General features: G+C 52.4%; 3 long non-coding RNA genes across 4 annotated transcripts in view, besides 4 other annotated features; 2 read left to right on the plus strand and 1 right to left on the minus strand.

Annotated features, from left to right (window-relative positions):
• The window catches only part of LOC107986590 (uncharacterized), a 4,272-nt gene extending 1,897 nt beyond the window's left edge, over positions 1-2,375 (minus strand). The window contains exon 1 of the long non-coding RNA XR_001744097.2: positions 533-2,375. This is a non-coding gene — a long non-coding RNA (uncharacterized LOC107986590). The remainder of the gene's footprint in view (positions 1-532) is intronic.
• Positions 1-13,734, plus strand: part of LOC105375026 (uncharacterized) — a 25,072-nt gene extending 11,338 nt beyond the window's left edge. Inside the window, exons 2-3 of one of the 2 annotated variants that reach the window (NR_187841.1) lie at positions 9,622-9,745; positions 9,991-13,734. This is a non-coding gene — a long non-coding RNA (uncharacterized LOC105375026). The remainder of the gene's footprint in view (positions 1-9,621; positions 9,746-9,990) is intronic. The other variant, NR_187840.1, reaches the window with a different exon arrangement.
• Positions 363-512: an enhancer, noted in NCBI's record as "active region_24371". NCBI's record gives its function as "activates an Ori minimal core promoter by ATAC-STARR-seq in GM12878 lymphoblastoid cells {active_cell/tissue: GM12878}" and the evidence as "EXISTENCE:reporter gene assay evidence [ECO:0000049][PMID:35858748]".
• Positions 593-642: an enhancer, noted in NCBI's record as "active region_24372". NCBI's record gives its function as "activates an Ori minimal core promoter by ATAC-STARR-seq in GM12878 lymphoblastoid cells {active_cell/tissue: GM12878}" and the evidence as "EXISTENCE:reporter gene assay evidence [ECO:0000049][PMID:35858748]".
• Positions 10,175-10,244: an enhancer, noted in NCBI's record as "active region_24373". NCBI's record gives its function as "activates an Ori minimal core promoter by ATAC-STARR-seq in GM12878 lymphoblastoid cells {active_cell/tissue: GM12878}" and the evidence as "EXISTENCE:reporter gene assay evidence [ECO:0000049][PMID:35858748]".
• Positions 10,385-10,534: an enhancer, noted in NCBI's record as "active region_24374". NCBI's record gives its function as "activates an Ori minimal core promoter by ATAC-STARR-seq in GM12878 lymphoblastoid cells {active_cell/tissue: GM12878}" and the evidence as "EXISTENCE:reporter gene assay evidence [ECO:0000049][PMID:35858748]".
• A 2,037-nt stretch (positions 13,735-15,771) lies between the features above and the next one.
• LOC124901307 (uncharacterized) lies at positions 15,772-20,230 on the plus strand. Its single transcript, XR_007059556.1, has 4 exons — positions 15,772-15,890; positions 16,460-16,548; positions 19,868-19,983; positions 20,094-20,230. It is a non-coding gene; the product is annotated as an uncharacterized LOC124901307 (long non-coding RNA).
• Positions 20,231-20,970: the final 740 nt, after the last annotated feature.

Below are 20,970 nucleotides of genomic sequence, written 5' to 3' on the forward strand. Positions count from 1 at the left end.
AGGGCCTCGCAGATAGCACCAGTGGTTTATTGGGGGTTGGGAGGTGTGTCTTGAGGCTGGGCCATGAACTGGAAGTGTGGAGTGACTTTTTGCCTGGCCACACCCCCCAGCCACCCCTCCCGGGGCTTGGCCTTGGTCACGGCCCATTCTGGAGCCTTGGGCTCAGCTCATGAGTGCACACTGCTTTCTGCTGGGACCAGCAGTCTCACAGTTGCCTGGAAACCATTCTGGTTTTTCACAAACCTTTGCCTGCCTTTCATTCACCACACACAGGAAGAGCCTGCAGCTAGCAATGCTATGCACACTGTGTGGCCTGAGCTGTAAGAAAGGCCATAGCTAGAGCTTCTGCCAGGGCAGGGGCACTAAAGACAGACTTGCAGTTCAGCCACAGGACTAGGCCTCTCTGCTGCTGAGCTCCCAGCGGGGTCCCACTGCTCCCTCCATTATCCTTATAGGGCTCTCTCTGAGTGGATCTAAACCCTTCTTCAAATTTATTTTTAGCATAGAATACTCTACAGACAGAAGAGCTTACCTGCTTTATTCAATGGGTTCTTGCAGCCCAAGGGATGCCTTAGCCCTGATATTGTAGTATTCGTAGGCTGATTCATGATCCCTGCCGACATATCCTTAAAAGACTGGATAGATGCTACACACAGCTCAGCCCAGCCCTCTTCTTTCTAGAACACCCCCATCCCCAGCTGCCTGACACCCTTCTCTGGACTAGAAAAAGCCTTGTAACATCTTGCTTCACCGACAACAGAGTGAGTGGGTTTCCTGTGCGGAAACACCTTGCTTGGGTGAAGTGTCAGATGAGGCTATATTTTGCTTGGTTGTTCGTCCTCCATCATTCTATTGGCCTCCTGTGCTCAGCGGCACCCGGATCCTCCTCCTTATCTCAGGGCCACACCTTACACTTGTCCACTCGGAATCTGTCTTCTACTTCCCTGCGCCCTGGGCTGGTCCTTCTGCAGCTTCTCTCCCTGTGGTTGAAAATCTAACCACCCACTGTTGTCATTTCTCTTTTGTGTATCCCATTTCCCCATTGAAAATAGCATTCAATAAGACAGGTTCCAGCATGCCTCCTCTGACCACCCCACTGGTAACAGTTCTGCACTCAGAAACACACATGCTCAGCCCTGCTTTGGGGTTTTGCTTTTGGTAAACCATTTCTCTTATCCTTACAAATTTTTGAAACATCATCTTTCTGTCTCAGATTGCTTCCTCCTTAAAAACCCAGCCCCCAGGGACCTGCCTGTTTCATCTTTACCCCATGCCTCTAGTGGCTTTCTTGCTTAGCCAGGTGACACTTTTCAGACAGTTTAGGGATGGCATTGAGGTGGGAGGAAGGCAGGCTCTCTGGATCCTGCCCACCCCTGCCTTTCCCTTAGCCTTCCCTGCGGTGGTACAAACACACAGACCCTTTCAAGTGAGGGCTTCATTGGCAATTCGTCCAGACAATACAAAAGGAGGGTCAATAAGGGGAAGGGACGAAGGCTCCAGGAAGGTCACTGGGTCCTTCTAGTTTACTTCCTGGTCCCTACTGCAGTGTCCATGACGATCCTCAGTCTGTCTTGGGTGTCTTGAATGGTGCTGATATAGTCCCCCTGTTTCTGCTCTTTCTCACATTCTTCTCCAGGGCCTGTTCCCAGCAAGATCCCTGTGCCCAATATCTTGCATTTGCATTGAAGAGGCACTGGCTGCGCCAGGAGAATGAAGTCGGAGAGATATCTCTCCAGGCATCTCCCTGCTGGCTGGCGTGGGCTGCCTGCATCCCTCAGGGGAAGGCATGGCTCTGGCCTGGCTGCCCTCTCTGAGTCTGTTCATTGTATATGGAACCTTCTTTACCCACCTTGCACACCCTTGCTCTTTCAGGTTGTCTTCTACTCAAGGCAGCAGGTCCAAACTTTTGTCATGATAAAGAGTCAGATCACTGAGCTCTGCCAAAAATACCTGGTTTGGTAGGGTCTCGGCTCCTGCTGGCTCCCTGGCGGATACAGTCCTTCTCTCCAGTGTCGTTTCTCAACCTCTTAAATCCAGGTTTCCTCTCCGTAAATGGAAAAACCTCATGCTCTGCCAGCAATTCTAATGCACCTTTCAGGCACTTTGGGAAGCGCACCTCACCTAGGATGACTCGCGCCCTGGAGGCTCGGGAAGGACAGGCTGTTTGCTCTGCAGCCCATCTGCCAAGGTTTTGCCGAGCTCTACATTGGGTAGCTTGTATTGCGAAAACACTTGTTGGCTTATTTCCTAAATGCAAAATTCTAATATGCTTTGATTCAAAAGGAAACTCCCTGAGATTCTGAGGCCCTTCTGAGACCTCTAGGTAGAATGGCTGGATAGGAGGCCTGAATTCTGGGAGAAGGGTGGGACCAGGGATGGGAGAGGTGTGAGAGTTTCCCACATTCTGTCTTAAGAGAAAAGCCCCAGAAGGAAAGAGATTAACCCAGAATTTTGGAGAAAGTTGTCATTAAGAGGCAGGTGGAGGGACTGGTTAAAAAAGGGTGAAAAAGTGGTGGGGTCGGGTGTAGAAAGAGAGCAATTAGGAAAAGTGGCACTCCAGGAAGTTAAGGGACAAGTCTCAACAGAGAGCATGGGTGACAATGTCAAATGCCACCTAAATATTATGTGCTGGAGGCCTGAGCAGTGTCCTGTGGATTTAGCAAGGCTGCTGGTGAGCTCAGCACAAGCTGCTGCTGTGGGGTGAGTGGAGGGCGCATTGGTGCCACCAGGAGGGAAGGAAGGAGTGGCCCACTAGCAGCCTTAGTGGAAGATGCCCTAGAGAGGAGAGGGGTTGAGGATTTCTGGATCGAGGGAGAAGACTGCAGGGCTCAAATCCTGGAGAGGCTGGGGAGGAGGGTCCAGGGCCAGACCTTGGGAGAGAGGAGGCCCTGTCAACTGGCACATGGGAAGGTCAGGAGGCAGGCGAAGGCCGCTGGGCTCTGGGCCCTACTGTCCTCAGTGAAATAGCTGCTGAGGATATTTTCTGAGTGTCTGGCTAGTGGTTGCAAAAAGCCCAGAGGAGGTTGCAAGAGGTGAGGCAGCTGATCAAAGCAAGTGGAAGGGTAGGCCCCGAGGCCCAGCTGGAGAGGGAGGCAGAGGTTCCTGGCGCTGTGGCTGTGCAGAAGCAGCTTTCCTGCAGCCTGAGTGCCTGTGGAGCTGGGGTGGGAAGGCAGAGCGGACACTAGCCTGGGTTGGGGATTGTAAGGAGGCTGAGCTGAGCTGTAGGGACAAAGGCCCAGCGATGTGGATGCTGGTGAGAGTAGCTCCAAGAAGTGAAAGAAGGAAGGGAAGCCTGGATGTTGAGAACCCAGAGAGACTCTGGAGCCCTCCATGAGGTTGGAAAATGGGAACTTTTTTCTTTTTTTTTTTTTTTACAATGACTATTTGATTATCTTTGTAGTCAGAAAAAAAAAGTTGAAAAGTCAAACTGCCTGAATGCCCGTTAACAGTATAATGGATAAATAAATTGTGTATTTCTACAATGGAATACAACTGCATGATACAGCTTCCAAACCTAACTGTCCCACATAAAAGGGCTAAATATTATTAGCAATCATTTGTGTAAGGTTCAAAAAACAGGCAAACGTAATCTGTGGGGTTAGATTCCAGGTTAATGATTATGTTTGGGGAGGGAGGTCACAGGAAAGTCCAGGGAGGGAGGCTGGTACTATTCTGATTGCTGACCTAGATGTTAGTCACATGGGTCTAGTCAGTCGTTGAAATGCACTGGCCTGGAAATTTATGACACGTGTGTGCATTTTTCTGTGTGTTTGTTCTACTTGCATCAAAAATTGACTTAAAACCAAAAAGACTAACATGAAGCAATTCCACTGGGGTTCGAGGCCAGTCACTTCTGCAGTCACCTGTAATAGATGTTGGTCCACCCTGTGGTCAGCCAGAAACAGCAACTGTCAAAGTGGTGGTGATCCTTCCTGTCCCCTGCTCAGGGGAAAGAGCCTCCGCCTCTGTCCCGGTCCCCTGCCCTCCATCCAGATGGTCAACCACACCGTAAACATGAAAGGCCATTTCCCCTCCGGAAGCCTCTGCTCTCCACCCATGGCTCTGCAAGTTGCACCCTGCACTGGGGGGCTCATCTGTGGGGCAGAGACCCAGCCCCAAGCAGCAGGCTGAGCAGGGTGCCAGCTGCCCTGGATCCACCCAGAGGGGGATACCTTTTTGTAATATACCCAAAGATGTGCAGTGGATTCAAAACAGCCCTGCTGCGGGTTTTGGGGGCAAATGTTTCTGAGGCCTTGCAATGTCTGGACCAGAAAAAGGATTCTGAGGCTTTCATAATAGTGTTAAATTAACAATAGTCACAGTGCCTATGGTGGGTAAAGAGGGTTCTAGTGCTCAAAGTTCTTGGGTGTACATCATCTGTGACCAGGGCTTTGCCCAAGTTCTGGCAAGAAGGGTAGAGGCATCACTCCTGGCTAAAGTGTCTAAGGTTTCTGGAAGACAACCCGGGGTGGCCAGGCTCTGGATGTGAGAAGGCCGATTTGGACAGGGTGCTCCATGTTGCTTCTCCCTCACCTCCGTGTGTCATCGGCAGACCGGATGGACGTCTGTCATTCATTTGCAAAATGTGTGTGTCTGGGGTTCTGTGTGTCCCGCGCTCATTCTAGCCTGATGGAACCCTTCTGTAGCCCTGAACATTCTTTAATTCCTGCTTCTGAGGTCTGTGAGGAGCCCCTCAGGTGTGGGTGGGGAATGAGGCCCCCTCTCCAGCCCTCTTTCCCAGCAGGCTCCCTGCTCCCAGTGGCCTCTAAGGCTCTGCATTTAGCTGCCTGTGACATCCAGTTATGGGCCTAGTCTTTTTGTTCTGCAGGACACTTTTTGTTTTGTTTTGCTTTGTTTTGTTTTTTTCATTTTCAAATATTCTCCAAGGCTTCCTGTGGAGTTTTTGCTCTTTAAACAGTTCCTTTTGATATTTTTCCTTACCAATGACCACATTTCATCATCATTCCTCTTCCTGAAATGAGGTATTTTAGGGGTATATTTGGGGCCCACTCTGCCACCACAGCATTAAATATTATTATGTGGGCATCGGGAGCCTCAATGCCCCGTCACAGAGCCCTCCTACTCCAGGGTCTGTCACTTTGGAGAATGAGCCCAGTTCCTTTCCTCTCTCTGTGGATTTGAAAACTCTATATTTGAGGACGCTGCCAGGTGTCTTAACAAAGAGCCGCACCTCGGCGTGTCATCCACATGAGAGAGTTGGCAGTCGGAGCCAAGAGAAGGACATTTCATCCCGAGGGTGGGTGGGAGTGGCCATGCCAGGGACGACGCATTGAACTAATCACCCAGAAAAGTGATGCCCCTGGAAGGACAGCCTTCTAGGAAGCTTTGGGGACATTTCAGGGCAATTAATAAGATGGGATATTGTGATTAAGGAAGACACAGCTTTGCTGCAGCTGTTTGCTTATCTACGTACAGTAGAACTGTGTGTTTACCCGACCCGTGGGCACCTCCTAGTCTCTTATCTTGCTGCAGAGTTTTTACTCTGTTGTGGCCACTCACCACTGACCAAGGCCAACGCCTGAGTTCTTCCACTCGCCTTCATCGATACTCCACGCCAACCACTCCGTGTCAACACTTGCTTTTCTAGCCTGGTGGCACTTGTGGAGAGATTATTACATACTTGCCTTTTCTGCTACGCCCCAGGCCTGTCAGTTGTCAGATTAGGCAGATCAATTTTGTTGTTGCCTCCCTCTTTTTGAATGCCTTTCCATGTCTTCCTGATCACTGATTGTCACAGGGTTGGTGGCCATCAGAATCTCATGCAGTTTGATGCTGATTTGTATTTTTTTCCTATTTTGGTTGAAAAACTGCCCTGATTCACGCTTCACTCCCAGCAGCTTAGAGCCATTCGTCCAGCCTTTGCGTTTGGTCTCAGAGCCCCACTGTGTCTTGCAGCTTGCAATGGAACTGAGGATGTACAGGAGAGTAGGATGAAAACACTGGGGCTGAAATGCACATCTCCAGGCATGGGGTGGGAGGCATAGAATGGAACTGCTGTGTGACCAGAAACAGCCTCAGGCCTGTGGAGAGGGCGGCAGTGGACGCTTGCTAAGTGTGGATTGATTTGGAGCTGGAGATCCTGGAATCCAGGAGCAAGTGAATAAAGGGGCTAAGGAGATAGCGAGGGGGAGGCCGAGAGAAGCAGCCTGAGAAGATGCAGACCTCCATGGCGGTTCAGGCCAGCTCAGGGAGGCTGAGGGACGGGCATTGGGCCTGGGGGGGCAGGGGGGAAGGATGCCTGGGAGATGAGGCCCACTTTTGGACCACATGTGACCAAAGGATCAGCAATCCAGTAGAAACCTGTCTTCTGCAGCCACTCTTTTGTAGCTCTGCAGGCTGCCTACTCTGGGGGCCTTGTCTCTGGCTGTGGCTCCAACTCCTGCCCTCCCCTCCCTACCTGCTGCCTGCCTGCCTGCACCAACCACAGTCCATGTCAGCCCATTCCCAGGCAGGCGGTAAGCACCTCTTCCCTGGAAACTAAGGTGGACACACACTGCCTGTCTCCCTCTGACTGTCCCCAAATCCAGTGACCTGAGCTCCTGCAGCCAGAGCCTCTCCCGACCCGTTCCTTATCCCAGCAGCTCTCAGCTGGTGTGGACTCACAGGCCAACCACCACAGGCTTTGGAGGCACACAGAGGACCACAGAGGCAGAGCCTCATTTCCCGCTGGATCGTCCTCTGCCCGGTGCTAGGGATTCCATGGTGTCATTCAAGAGTGCTGCGACATTTTTTATTCTTTGGTATCTAGGAATCTGCGACTTCCCACTTTTCTTTCTCATTCTCTGTCCACTCTTTAAGGCCTGGCTGGAGCCCTTCCCCTTCACGAAACCCCTTTTGTCCACTCCAGCCCACACAGTCTCCCCAGTCCACTTTTTTTGCAGCCCAGATTCATTTAGCCTTTATTATGCTCAGTTTAGGCGTCACTCTGTTTTACTCTCTAAGAGTTCCCTAGGCATTCTTTTTCTTTCTAGCAAGATGATAAACTTCTTGAGGACAAGACGTTCTGCCCCACCACCCCCCTCCTGACCTGGGGGGATAAATGAAGGGTTTTGGTAGCAATCAGGGAAGCTGGCCTACATGCTACCTGCCTGCGTATGTAATGGTGGCTGATGGTTCAATATTAATGGATACTGAATAAGCCTGGCACCTGCTGGAGACAGCGATGACATTTGCTCTCACAGCAGATGACAGGGTGATTGATGGCAGGCATCTCTGGGTGGAAGCGATGAGTTCTCCAGGGGCGATGAAGGGGTTAGACTGGGTGCTTAGGGCCCTCAAGGGACCTCAAGGGAATGTAGAGAAGCCTCAGGCAACCCAGGGTCAGGGGTGAGGGGACCAGGAAGAGAAAGTCCGCTCAGGAAGGGTGTAGGCTCGGACACTGTAGGAGGCAGATCCAAGAGGCTTCCTAAGTCAGACCTCTTGTCTAAATTGGATGGGCTGAGAGCTTTGGAGTCACTGCTTTGCATACGAGACCATGGGGACATAGAATCCGTCATTATCCCTGCCAGCTCAGCTCAGAGGTCAGAACTGAGGAGGGAAGTGGTCAGGTTTAGGGTACAGGGAGAGAAGGTAGGACGTCCCCTCCAGGGCCTAGAGCTGGGGACCACAGCCAGGCTCTGGCATGCCTGAAAACAGGGCACATCGCAGGTGGTCGGTAAAGACACGTGGGATTGAACTGAACAATGAGGGATTAATAGATTCTTCTTAAAATTGTCTTATGGTTTAAGGAGGGAACAGAACAGAGTTGGAAGTAGGGGACAGGAACTCAGATGTGATTTTAGCCAGGGCTTGGTTTAAGCTGTTGTGCTTCTTCTCTTGTGATACTAGTTTGAGCCAAGGGCAGCAGGGGCTGCTCCTGGTGAGAGGACGTGGGCAGGGATCCCATCAGAGACAAGCCAGGCAGACACTGTCCAGAGAGGCCTCTCAGGAGGCCAGGACAGCCAGCTGCTTCTCCTTAAGGAGGAGGCCTCTGCTCCACCCTCCATTCCTCCTCCCCTGGGCCTCTCTCCCTTTCTCCCTGTGAGATCTTCTGCTACTCCAGCCACAGGAGGTATAGATCCATTCCCAGAACAAAAACTGTCTGGCTGCTCCTGAAACACTTTTTCTCCTATGCACTACTGGCTCATCCTCATGCCTCCAGCTCAGCTTAGACATCCCCCTTGAAAAGGTCTTCTCTGAGTTCCTGTGGCTCCTGGGCCCATGCCCAAGGCTGCCCTGTCACACTGGTCCCCGTATTTTCTTCACAGCACTTATCATTGTCTGAATTTATCTCATCCACCTCTTCTCTTTGTTGGGTATCTCTCTTGCTTCCTTAGAAGGGAAGCTCCATGCAGGGTTGTGGTCATTCTCGACCATGTTGTGCCCCAGCTTCTAGAACAGGGCCCACATAGACAGTGGCCAGTGAGTATTTGTTGAATGGATGAGTGGGTGGATGACAGCACTTGGGAAGGCACCAAGTCTCAAGTGGGGTGGGATTGGGGTGGGGTCCTAGCAAACCTCCTTGTCTCTCATCCAGGACAGAATAGAGCTGTCCTGTGGGGGAGCTGCTCACTGGGGAGAGGGCCTGTTGGGCCCTGGTAGAAAATCCATTCTGGGCCTGGGCCGGCCACTGCTTGCCCCCTGACAGATGGTATGCTAAGCAATCTGTGAAATGGGATGCAACACAAGTTTCATTTGAGCCTGAACCCCCAGAGGCAGGGAGAAGAAGAACCAAAAATGTGTAGTCCTGCTCCCCTACCCAGGCACAGGCCTGGTGCCCTCGAGGGCCAGACAGTGCAGAGGGGACTCTGAGGGTGGGGGAGAGAGAGGCGTGGTCCCCGGCCTCTGATGGAGTGGGAAGTGTGGTGCTGTGCACAGTGAACCTATGGGGTTTACTAGACAGTGGCCTGTCTAGCAATGGGCAGCAGGGAGAGAGCAGGGTTTCCAGACAGGCCTTTAGTTAGGTGCCCAGGCACAGGCAGGGCTGTCACACCTGTCTGCCCCGGCCCCCGAGCATTTTGGGGATTTTGGATGGTGGCTCACCCTGACCTCTTTCCAGCTTTAGCACGAGAGTCCCAGCCCCATTTTCTTTCCTAGCTAACTGTACCATCACTGCCACATCAGGGCCCCCAATACAATAAGGAGTTAAAGGAAAAGAGGCTACCTTGAGATCCCCCTCTACCCGCCAGCCCACAGGGTTCCCCCACCTCAGAGTTCAGGAAGTATTGGTAAATGGAGGCAGGAGTGGGGCAGGGATCCTCGGGGGAAGATCTTAAGAACTTCACCATGGAATTAGCTGATGACACTGGTGTCTTTCTTCTAAGGGGTGCCTATCCTTTTTCTATGCTTGCTAGGGAGCTTGAATCTTTTCTTTTTAAGAGAGAAAATTTCTGGGCTTGGGAAAGAGGAGCCTCAAGCTGACACTGGTCTGAGTGGGAAAATTTGGGGCTGAAGTCCTTCCCTTGAAAATGTGTCTGCTGGGCAATGCTGAGCAAAATTCCACAAAGGAGAGAAAGGGTGGAGGAGGGCAGATTGCCCTTCACCTACCTCTGCGTCTTCTTTGCCTGCCCAGCCTTAGCTGGGCCCCACACCACTAATGGAATTTCCATCCTCATCCCATAGCATCCCCAAAGAACATTCAAGTCTGAGCCTCAAGGAGCCTCTGCGACTCGGTGTCTAGATCCAGGAAATGGAGAATGAGCCGTGACTTTGGATGCTTCACTCTTGTCCATCAGGCTCGGAATTGGTGAGCATCTCCCACATTACCGTCTCCAACGGAACAAGGTGCCCCATTGGACATTTCCTCTGCATGGACCAGCCATTCTCCAAATCTGCCCCCATGTCACCCCAGCTCCCCATCGCAGTCACTTCTCACTCCTTGTCCCCTGTCCCCCTGAGTGACAGGACTTTTGCCAGTTAGGTCCTGTCCCTGTTTCTGATCTTGGGTCCATTCCCCATGGTCCCTTTCTTGCTTGTGCCTTGGGATCTCAGGCCTGTTGAAGTAGGAGGCAGGACTCAACTTCAGACCAGATTGAAGACTGGCTGACACAGAAGAGGCACCAAAAGCACCTCTCTCTCCATAAGACATGCCCACCAGTGCCATGACAGTTTACCATTGCTATGGCAATGCCCAGAAGTTCTCACCCCTTTTCCAGACATTTCTGCATAATCTACCCCTCAATTGGCATGTGATCAAAAGTGGGTGTCAAAATGACTGTGGAACTGTCCCTGAGCTGCTACTCTTGACATGCTGGTTACAGGGTAGCCCGGCTCTGCAGGGACAGTCACGGAGCTGAAAAACTGCTGCCTAATGAAGCTGTTTTCTTCTACCACCGGCTCACCCTCAAATTATTTCCTGAGCGAACTCAAGAACCTTCCTGGGCTAAGCCCCAATTTTGGGGCTCGCCTGCCCCTGCATCACAGCTTCCTCTTCTGTTCACAGCTGCAACCGCCTACTCAACCTTCTGCGGTTCCTCTCCCTGCCCCTCCACAGTGGCTGCTGATGGGAGCTCTGGCTCCCTGCGTTTTCACTATCTCCCAGTCAAATGCAGAGTCCCTGTGCAATTTAAATGCTTCTCAGCTAAGAACAGAGAAGGGGATAGCATAAGGATATTCAAAAGATTCAAGAAATCTCAAAAGTGATCACAAAACATTTGTCTCTGACCAACCAGAAACATCGACGGGTGAGAAGGGCATTTCCTCTAGCTGAATTCTTCATGGGTCTTCAGGCTCTGTTTTCACTTTGGATTTTCTGGAGTCTCCTGAAGGTTACCTGAAATCTTGTTGGTCCTGAATATTGTATGTGGAGTCCCAAGCTGCAAGAAGTCAGTGGGGCTGGACGGGAGCCAAAATCAGAGACTCAAGCAGCACAGCTGGGCCCCATTGAAAGTGAGACCAGCTGTCCCAGTTGGAAGCTGGGGTATAGAGCTGGGGATGGGTGGAGGCAGTGACAGGCTCCATGTATTGGTCATTCAGACTCCCCAGTAGCCTCAGGACCCAACTCCCACAGGTCAGAGAAGACCTGGTGGAGGGCCTTATGCAAACCTCAGTGGGTGATGCAGGAGGGAGTTTTCTGAGCAGGAATGCCAACAAAAAAGGCCTTCAAAGGAAGGCCCTGCTTGGGACAATCCTGCCTCTTTATGGTCTGGTTCACAGGTTCCCCTGGGTGGGGTAATGGAATCCAAGCTAAGGTGTCTGACTTCAAAAGTTTTCAGAAATGCCACTTTTGTAAGCATCAGGGATTGGGTTTTCTGAGATGCAAAACATCTTTGTTAAGGGGTTAAAGCATCCTTAAGCTGTTTAGGTTTCTGGGGATACATAGACTTAGGAAGTTAGAGCAGGTGAAGTTGAGGGGGATGGGAACTAAGAATTAGCTCAAAATAGTCACCAATGCAGAAACCCAGGCACTTGGGACCCTGACAGTGGGGAAGGCAGAGGAGTAACTGTGGGGACTTGGGCACCCTATTAGCAGAATGGGGTAACAGAGAAGGCAAGAATTGCTTCCCAGGAGACTGGGCTGGGAACAGGAAGGGGACTAAAATGCTGTCCCTGGCTGAAGAGTGTGGAGGTATAGAGGAGCTGGTAGCAGGGCTCTGAATCCATACACGAGAGCAAGGACCAGTGGTTTCAGGGTGGGATAGGGCTTTGATGTCTTCATGGACTTAGGGTAATATTCACCACCATGGTGAATTCCACAAAGGAGAATTCACACAAAGGTCTCGGACCAGCCAGTTTCCATGTGAAAAAGCCATCTGGGAGCAAGGGAACAAACCCAGGAATACAACTGTATTGGGGGAAATTCAGCCAGACATAGGGCAAAATTCACCCCCAATATTTCATGTAGGTTCTTTTCTATTTTCCGTAAGTGTCGGCCGGTCTGAGAAATAAAGGGACAGAGCTCAAAAGAGAGAAATTTTAAAGCTGGGTGTCTGGGGGAGACATCACATGTCGGCAGGTTCCGTGATGCCCCCCGAGCCGTAAAACCAGCAAGTTTTTATTCGTGATTTTCAAAAGGGGAGGGGGAGTGTATGAATAGGGTGTGGGTCACAGAGATCACATGCTTCACAAGATAATAAGATATCACAAGGCAAATGGAGGCAGGGCGAGATCACAGGACCACAGGACCGGGGCAAAATTAAAATTGCTAATGAAGTTTCGGGCATGCATTTTCATTGATAACATCTTATCAGGAGACAGGGTCTGAGAGCAGACAACCGGTCTGACCAAAATTTATTAGGCGGGAATTTCCTCGTCCTAATAAGCCTGGGAGCGCTATGGGAGACTGGGGCTTATTTCATCCCTACAGCTTTGACCATAAAAGACGGCCGCCCCCCGAAGCGGCCATTTCGGAGGCCTACCCTCAGGGACACATTCTCTTTCTCAGGGATGTTCCTTGCTGAGAAAAAAAATTTAGCGATATTTCTCCCATTTGTTTTTGAAAGAAGAAAAATATGGCTCTGTTCTGCCTGGCTCACCGGCAGTCAGAGTTTAAGGTTATCTCTCTTGCTCCCTGAACATTGCTGTTATCCTGTTCTTTTTTCAAGGTGCCCAGATTTCATATTGTTCAAACACACATGCTCTACAAACAATTTGTGCAGTTAACGCAATCATCACAGGGTCCTGAGGCGACATACATCCTCCTCATTTTACAAAGATGATGGGATTAAGAGATTAAAGACAGGCATAGGAAATCACAAGGGTATTGATTGGGGAAGTGATAAGTGTCCATGAAATCTTCACAATTTATGTTCAGAGATTGCAGTAAAGACAGGCGTAAGAAATTATAAAAGTATTAATTTGGGGAACTAATAAATGTCCATGAAATCTTCACAATCCACAATTATTCTGCCATGGCTTCAGCCGGTCCCTCCATTTGGGGTTCCTGACTTCCCGCAACACAAGTGGAGAGAGAGGTGGCCTGACATTATGGCTAAGTTGATATGGAAGCATTCTGGTTTGTTCTAGAAAAAATGAAAGAGGTGGTGCAGGTAATCATCAGCTCCTGGTTCTGTAGCAAGGCTTTTGCTGCAATCCCAGGAGGTAGCAACCTAGGCTTTGGTTCTGAAAGAAGAGGGTCTACCTTCCTGAATCATTTTTAGGAGTCTGCTGATGGCCAGGCTTGGTGAGTTGGACTCTGTAAGGAATTTTTATTTAAGTGAGGTCTGGGTAGGAAAAGAGAAGGGAAAAACTTGACCCTGCCTGCACCAAAGGATTCTGGGAAGGAGAATAAAGAGAAAAACCCTTCTTCATGTTTCTGCTTCAGAGCAGGAGAACCATCACAAGCTAAGTAAAGTCAATGAAGGGCGAGTGGCCCTATGGCCACCTGGGCACACACCTGCCCCTTGGCCACCTTGCATAGGCAGGCTGAGGAGGTCACTAAGGCTTGGTTTTCCTGACCTGCCCTGATTCCACATGCTGTAAGGAGGACCCAGAAGGCTGTGTGGCTACAGAGGTGCCCAGCATGGTGGGGGTCACTTCAGTGTGGACACTAGACTGGACCGCGTGGAACTACAACCAGCTCAGAGCGCCAGCCAGAGTGCTGTTCTGGCCAGAAGGAGGAGCCAAGACCCACACCCAGGAGGACAATGAGCCCCTCTCTGCAGACAGGAGCCAGCCACACCTGGGGTCTGGGGAGACTCTTCCTGATTCCAAATGGGACTGAACTTTAAACCAGACTGGGCATTTGAGCAATTTTTTAAAAGCTGTCAACCAAATAAAGGAATGCCATTTTCTTTACCCAGTCATTGTGTTGGTTAAAGGTTGCAGACCTGGCTGCCTAGTGCCCACCATCATTATCAGGGTATGTAGCTCTTCAAGCTCCAAGAGGCTTCCTTAGCTGCCAGCATCCCCTGGTCTTTTCCAAGGTGTTGACAGGGTCTTTAGTGTTGAGAAACAGGGAGCAAAGTGCTGACATTGAAAAACGGGGCCCAGCCCCGGCCAGGCCTTGGGCTGTAAGTCCCGTGTCCTGCCAGACGGTCTAGGACCCAACAGTCTGGTGGATCAGCCAAATGTGCACCTCTGGGCTTGGACTTCAGAGGCTGAGCCTGGCTTACGACCACCAGCTCACACCCCCCAGCTCACGGCCCCCAACTCGGGGTCCAGATGACCTCAGGAGGCTGGGTCAGGGGACTGCCTCCTCAGGGTCAGGGGACAAGCCTTGTGGTCAGTGGGTTTCCATGGCAGCCCACAACCAAGGGGAGTAGGGCCAGACAAGAGTCAGCGATCACACACTAACCCCTCCTCCAGGGCTGGGGAGAACTAAGGGAGCCTCAACCCAGACTGAAGGTTACACCATAAAATAACAGACACTCAAAGAGCCTGGGGATCTCCTGACTGTGCTCCCAGCCTAGGACTGTGCCTGGAGTGGGGTCTCCAGAGCAGGGATGATGGCACAGGTTGGGGGGGTGGGCGGTGGGGAGGAGATGCCTCATGTCCACAGTGAGGAGCCACGACATCCCAGGAGAGTGGAAAATCTCCCCCGGGACTTGCTCCATGGGCCAGGCACAGCAGCCATGCCCACTGCTATGTGGAGGTAGGCAGTCCAGGGCTGGGGCCCAGGCCATCGGGACCCCATCCATCTTTCTGCTATCCTTAGTGTGTCACCTCCATCTTCGTGGTCACAAGTGCTGATGTTCCTCAAGGCCCCATGCCCAGAGGAAAGAGATAGAGGCCAACAGGCAGGCTGGGCCTGTTTAGGCCTCACACCTTCTGCTCACATCTCCTCCAGCAGTGCCACCTTGGACATTCCCTGAGCGCAGTCACTACTGATGGCCAGGGAGGAGGGGTCCTGGGCACAGCATCCTGACCATGTCTTGACGTAGCTGCCTCTGCCATCAGCTTTTCCCCAGGCCTCCTTGTCCCCTCCTCCCTCCCTGGAAAGGCCCCTCATGTTGAGAGCAGAGTCGTGGCTTCACCAACCTTCCTGCCGATTGGGCTGTTACTGCAGAGTCGGTGGAAGGTAAGAAGGACGGTCCCTGCCATTACAAGAGGGCCCTGCAGTGCAGTGTTTCAGGATGGGGCCACACAGCGCATTGGAAAGCACAAAGGAGAGGAGCAAATCCCAGCCTAGAGGGGGCAACAGGCAGAGGGAGCTTCCAGGAGGTAGAGATGTCTAAACTAAGACCTCAAGGGTGGACAGGAGCAAGCCAAGTGAAAGGATCTGGGAGGGCAGCGGATGACATTAGGAGCTGGGAGGAACTAGCTGGGGTGTTGCCTGAAGAAGTTGGGGGCAGGCAGGCCAGTGTACACAGGGCTCTGTGGGCCCAGCAAAGAGGAGTGACCAGAGGCACGATCTGGTGTGGGCTGGAGAAAGGCCTTGGCCTGCAGGTGGCACAGGCCAGGCTGGAGGCAGAGGGCTGTTTAGGAGACCATTTCGGTTATAAAGCAGGGATGACAGAAGCTGGGCTCGGGAAACTGATGGAGACAGAGACTTGGAAGACACAAGGCTTAAAGACTGATGAAGGGGTAGAGGTGGCTAGTGAGAGAGAGAGAGACAGACAGACAGACATAGGGAGAGAGATGGACAGAGACAGAGAAAATGCGAGCCTGGGGAAACCAGGTGCACAGTGGTAGCTTGTGCAGAGGGAGAGGATGGAAGAAGGGGGCAAATTATAGGCAGAAGAGGCCATGTCCATTTGCAAAGGTTGCGTGCAAGACCCTGGAGGCCCCTGAGGAAGAGAGATGGAAGATGTGGGTATCTGGCCCAAAAGCATGGAAGGGTCCCTGAAGATCCAGCCACCGCCTAGTTATGCTGTTTGTACAGGGGCCATTGCAAGGGAGGAAACCATCCTGCCACTGGGAACCAGGAAGACGGGTGAAAGGCAAGGAATATGCAAAATGAGTCTCAGCTCTCCTTTGAGACACCTTCCGGCCCTGGCAGAGTCCAGTGGCAGGTGGGTGTCTGGAGCCCTTCCCTAGGAACTGCCTCCTTGGCCCCATCCCATCTCCTTGACCCCCTGCACCTTCCTGACTCCCAGCCCATCCTGGCTTCATTGTGAGCAGACTCTGGTTGGGAGGTTTTGAGGCTAGCAGGGAAGGAGGTGATGGAATCTTGGAGCCTTTCAGGCTCTCCTCAATAATGAGCTTGGGGCAGTGCCCTGACCCATCACAGACACATCCCCCTCTAGGGATCATTTCCAACATGAGTTCAGCCACCCCCAGGGCTAACCCAGAAAACTCTCTCACTGGGCTCCTGCAGAACGGGGTGGAGGAATCAGAAAATGCAGGACCTTTGAATCATTGAGAGGCGGCCATTAAGAGTTTTAGGAGTTCAGCCTGGGTTGTCCCAGGTACCAAGAGAGGAGAGGGGCAGGGTTAAGCCCTGCTTCTGGGTGTTGCAGCACATGGCTTGTCCTGAGACACCTCACAAGCCCATTTAAGACACCCCTGGCCTGTTCCTGAAGGCAGGTGAGCCACTGGGGTTTGTTTTAATAAATCCCCTTTTCTCTTTCACCAACTCAAGGAGCTTTGGTATGAACCATGCCCGGTAACAGGGACTGTGCAGAGGAAGAATCCCAGCTAGCCTATGGATGAAGAGCTCAGTGAAAGGAGGTAAGCCCAGTGCGGGCAGGGCTTCCCAGGGCTGGAGTGCAGACAGAGGCAGGAGAGCAGCCCAGGATGGAAGAAGGGTGTGCCAGGTAGAAGCAGGAAGGCTTGAGTGGCCAGGGAGGGGCTGTTTTAGTTTCCTTACCTATAGAATCAGAATAATGATCATTCACTTATTCATGCATTCATTCATGGAGTAAGTCTTTTGTGATGCACAATCACGCACCCAAGGCCTTGGGAATACATCTGTGTACAAGACAGACAGGCACTCGCCTTCCTGGACCTGATGTTCTGCTGAAAGGGTGAGACACAAAACAAACGCACGACAAGTTAATATTATGTCCAAGAGCTGCAGGTGCAGCAAAGGAAATTAAACCAGAGGAAAATTGGACAGAGCTGCGCTGGACCATGAGGAAGAGGGAGCCATGTGGGTACGAAGGGGGGAAATCCCAGCAGAGCAGAGGCACGGCCAGCCAAGGCCTCGCTGCCTCGATCGCATGGGCCCTGAGGAGGCGGGGGTGATGGCAGAATTCGACTTCAGTACGGCCCTGACGTCTAGGCCCTGTGAGGGCTGGGAGAGGTGCTCCCATTTGGAAGGGAGGCCTCAGGTATTTAAACACTGGTGGGAACGGCAGGTTGGGGAGAGGAAGAGGGGCAATAATGGGAGGGAGGTCAGGGTTCCTCTCCTGTAGCTTCTCTTTCTCTGTGAAATAGGAGGTGTGGTTTCTGCCAAGAGGCAGAGGGCTCTGAGGATGAGAAGGGGCTAACTAGAGGCCAGCTAGGTGCCCATAGGCCTGCTCCAGGTAGGATATGTTATGTGCCCAGCAGCTCTGGGAACGGGCCATGGAGGCAGCTCACTGGGTAGCCGGACTATGGATGTGATGGGTGTGGGGCTATGGCCAAGCGGGGTGGAGGTGAGGCAGGCCCAGCAGCCTGAAGCACAGAGGACCAGAGCGAGGTCAGGAGCCCCAGTCAAGAGAAAGAGGAAGGACCCAGGAGGAAGGGTGGATGTGGGTCGCTTTCTGGTGGGACAGAATCAGGGAGTGGAGGAGCCCCAGGGAGTGGCCTCAGCAGTGGGCATTGACATGGAGGCCAGCCCAAGAAGAGATGAAGCACATCACTGCACCAGCTACCCTTACTGCTATAGCTGGAATGTTTATCACCGCCGAAACTCCTGTTGAAACTGAATCCCCAGTGCTGCAGTATTGGGAGGTGGGCTTTTAAGAGGTGATTGGGTCATGAGGTCTCTGCCCTTATGAAAGGATCGATCCACTCATGTATTAACAGATTAATGGGTTAGTAGATGAATGGGTTTTCACTGGAGTGGGATTGGTGGCTTTATAATAAAAGGGAGAGAGACCTGAGCTGGCCTGCCTGGGAACTCTGCAGAGGCCCTGCCCCAGGAAGGCCCTCAGCAGATGTGGCCCCTCGACCTGGGACTTCCCAGCTGCCATAACTGTAAGAAATACATTCTTTATCTTTATAAATTACCCAGTTTCAGGTATTGTATTATAAGCAACACAAAATACACTAAGACAATTACCAAAACCCCAGGCATCCGGCTTTGTAGCGTCGTGGCCACCGAGACCCTTTCTTTCAGCAGCATAACCGTGTATATAAACACAGCCCCAACTAGCACACGAAAAGGAAACTGGGTGATGGGGTGGTTACATTTTTAAGTTGTTTAAACACTTATAAAGTGAGAGCTATTTAAGATTTTTATGAGTAACCAGAAATTTTCACAAAGCACTTCATGTTATGCAGGGGAAGAGAAAGCTGGGAAGAATAGCATTTATTTAATGCCTACTATGTGCCTTCTCCAACCGGTGGGAAGTGACAGCCTGTCTCCTCCTTGCCAGTTCTCAGCCTCTCTGAATGAGACAGCTTGGTGGGCCCATGGGGACAGCCACTGGGGAAGCTCTCTGCCCAGAGACACAACCCCCACTGGGCCCGGAGTGGAGGCGCAGTCCTGGTGGCATCCCTCCTTGAACTGCCTACTGAGCCCCCGTAGAGCTGAGCCTGGGGAGTGGAGGTGGAGGAAGCAAAAAAGCAGCAGGAGGCCAGGGAGCCTATGTGAGCCCACCTGGGGTCCCAGAGACATGATCCCGCTGCTGCCCTCATTCCTAATCCACAGAGGCCCCTGACACCAGCCCTGATGGCGGGCAAGGGCTACTTGGGAGGGAAGAGAAAGGGTAGCTGGGGGAGGTAGAAATGGGGCCTGAAGAAGAGTCTCGGCTGGGCACAGTGGCTCATGCCTGTAATCCCAGCACTTTGGGAGGCCCAGGTGGGCGGATCATTTGAGGTCAGGAGTTTGAGACCAGCTTGACCTACATAGTGAAACCCCACCTCTACCAAAATACAAAAATTAGCTGGGCCTGGTGGCGGGCGCCTGTTATCCCAGCTACTCGTGAGGCTGAAGCAGGAGAATTGCTTGAACCCAGTAGGCAGAGGTTGCAGTGAGCCGAGATTGCTCCACTTTACTCCAGCCTGGGTGACAGAGCAAGACTCCCTCTCTCAAAAAAAAAAAAAAAAAAAAAAAAAGAGTCACACGAGAGGCCGAGCCACTGGGAGGGCTAACCCTGGGTGGGCCGGCTCCTGAGTGGATGCTCCCGGGATCTGCAGAGCTGGGGAGAACCATGCTGAGTCCCAGCCCTGGAAGGTGGGGGAGTCTTGTTGGCCTTGTAAGGAGGTCACCATCTGCCCTGCCTCCCTGGGTGCCTGGTTCCTGAAACTCTTCTAATCACCTCCCCAGTTCCTCAGGTTTTAGCCCAGCAAACACTCAGAGAGTTTCCTGGAGGAAATTAGAAAGAAGAAAGCAAAGAAGTAGAGATGGTTTACCAGGCACAATCTGGCTGACTGCTAAGGGCACAAGACCCAGCCCACGGGATGGTGGGCACTGTAAACTGCTCCCTCCACACCCCCAGCCCTGGGCAGCCTGCACATGTGAAAGTCCCCCCCATGGAAAGGTGGGCTCCATGGCAATTCCAGCATCTGGTGTGCTCCTCGGGGCCTGGCATCCTGCCACAGAGGCTGTGGTCACATGGGAGTGCTTCCTGGGCCACAGGCAGGAAGGTGAGCCCACAGCCGTGTACCCCTGGCACCTGGACAAGGCTTGCTGGGGTCCCCTGCCGGTGGAGTGCTGCCTTCTTGGGACAAAGGCTGGACCTGGAGGCAAAAGAAGTTCCTCTCTGAGTGCACGGGGGCCACAGCTCAGGTACAAGAACATGAGAGCCAGAATAGTTGCCACCTGTGGATTTCAGGAAGTGCCTCAAAGGGACCAGCATGCTCCTCTTCTTGCCCTTTCCTCCTTTGCTTTGCTGGCCAGAGGCAGACAGGACCGATGGCTGCCACCTTGGACCATGATGTGGGAGCCACGTTATGAGAATGGCAGAGCAACCAGATAGCGTTGGCACCACCAATCCCAGCCCTGGACTTCCCATGGTAAGGAGAGAGAGAAACGTCTTATGGGAGCCACCATCATTCTCGTGCAGCAAACCTGATCCTAACACACAGCACCAAGACCCTGCCTCCTCCTCTCCCTTCCCTCCCAGTGCCGACGAAGACCTACTATGCAGAGAGGATAGAGGAGGGACACAGAGGCCACTGGAGGTGATTTGAAAAGGACGAGGACACCTGGGAACAAGGCAATGAAGGTGGCTAGGACAGAGGCATGAGGACAGAGCCTGGGGAGGACTCATTAGTGCAGGGCTGACAGGCAGAGCCTTCCCAGGAACTCAGCCAGCAGAACCTGACAGCCATGATTTGGGCCTGCCCACTGCCCCAGGGGCCCTCCAACCCAGTCCTCCCCAGAGGGCTGAGGGCCCTCCCTCCCCATACTCAGCAATACTCCAGAGCCTACTTCCCCATGGAGGCCCAATCCCCTTCCCGGACGAGGCAGCTGGTGGTGTGTGGGTGCTGGTCTGGTGAGAGAGGGACTCCTTGGAGACTGAGGCCATGGGGGAGGGAGTGTCTGTCCATACCTGCAGGTTTGTCCCAAATTTAGACCCCAGGTCTGGAGGTGAACACAGCCCCACCTGATTCCTGGGAAGCCACGCTATCTATGCAGCTCGCTTCTTAGAAGCGGGCTTCCTCTCCATCCCCATCGAACTCAGTGCAGTCAATGCCTACTGAGCTCCTACTGAGTACACTACATGGATGTGGGTTCAGGTGCTAAGGAAATAAACCAGGCCCCACACTGCAGTCCCCAGGGCGCAGTGCCCTGACAGGTTGCCCCAAGACTGTGGTGTGCTGGGAAATGTTGAACACCCAGCTCTCTGAAGGAGAACACCTGGTTTGTGGCAGTTGCAGGTTTGTAGTGTTTCGTGATCTAAATCATCCACCCTGGCCAATTCCAAGTTGTAAACACAGAGTCCTTGAAGTCAGGAAGGCCCTGGCCCGGCTCCCAGGCCCAGCTCCAGCACCCCACTG

This window comes from Homo sapiens, chromosome 6 (assembly GCF_000001405.40).
Source record: "Homo sapiens chromosome 6, GRCh38.p14 Primary Assembly".
Taxonomy (NCBI): Eukaryota; Metazoa; Chordata; class Mammalia; order Primates; family Hominidae; genus Homo; species Homo sapiens.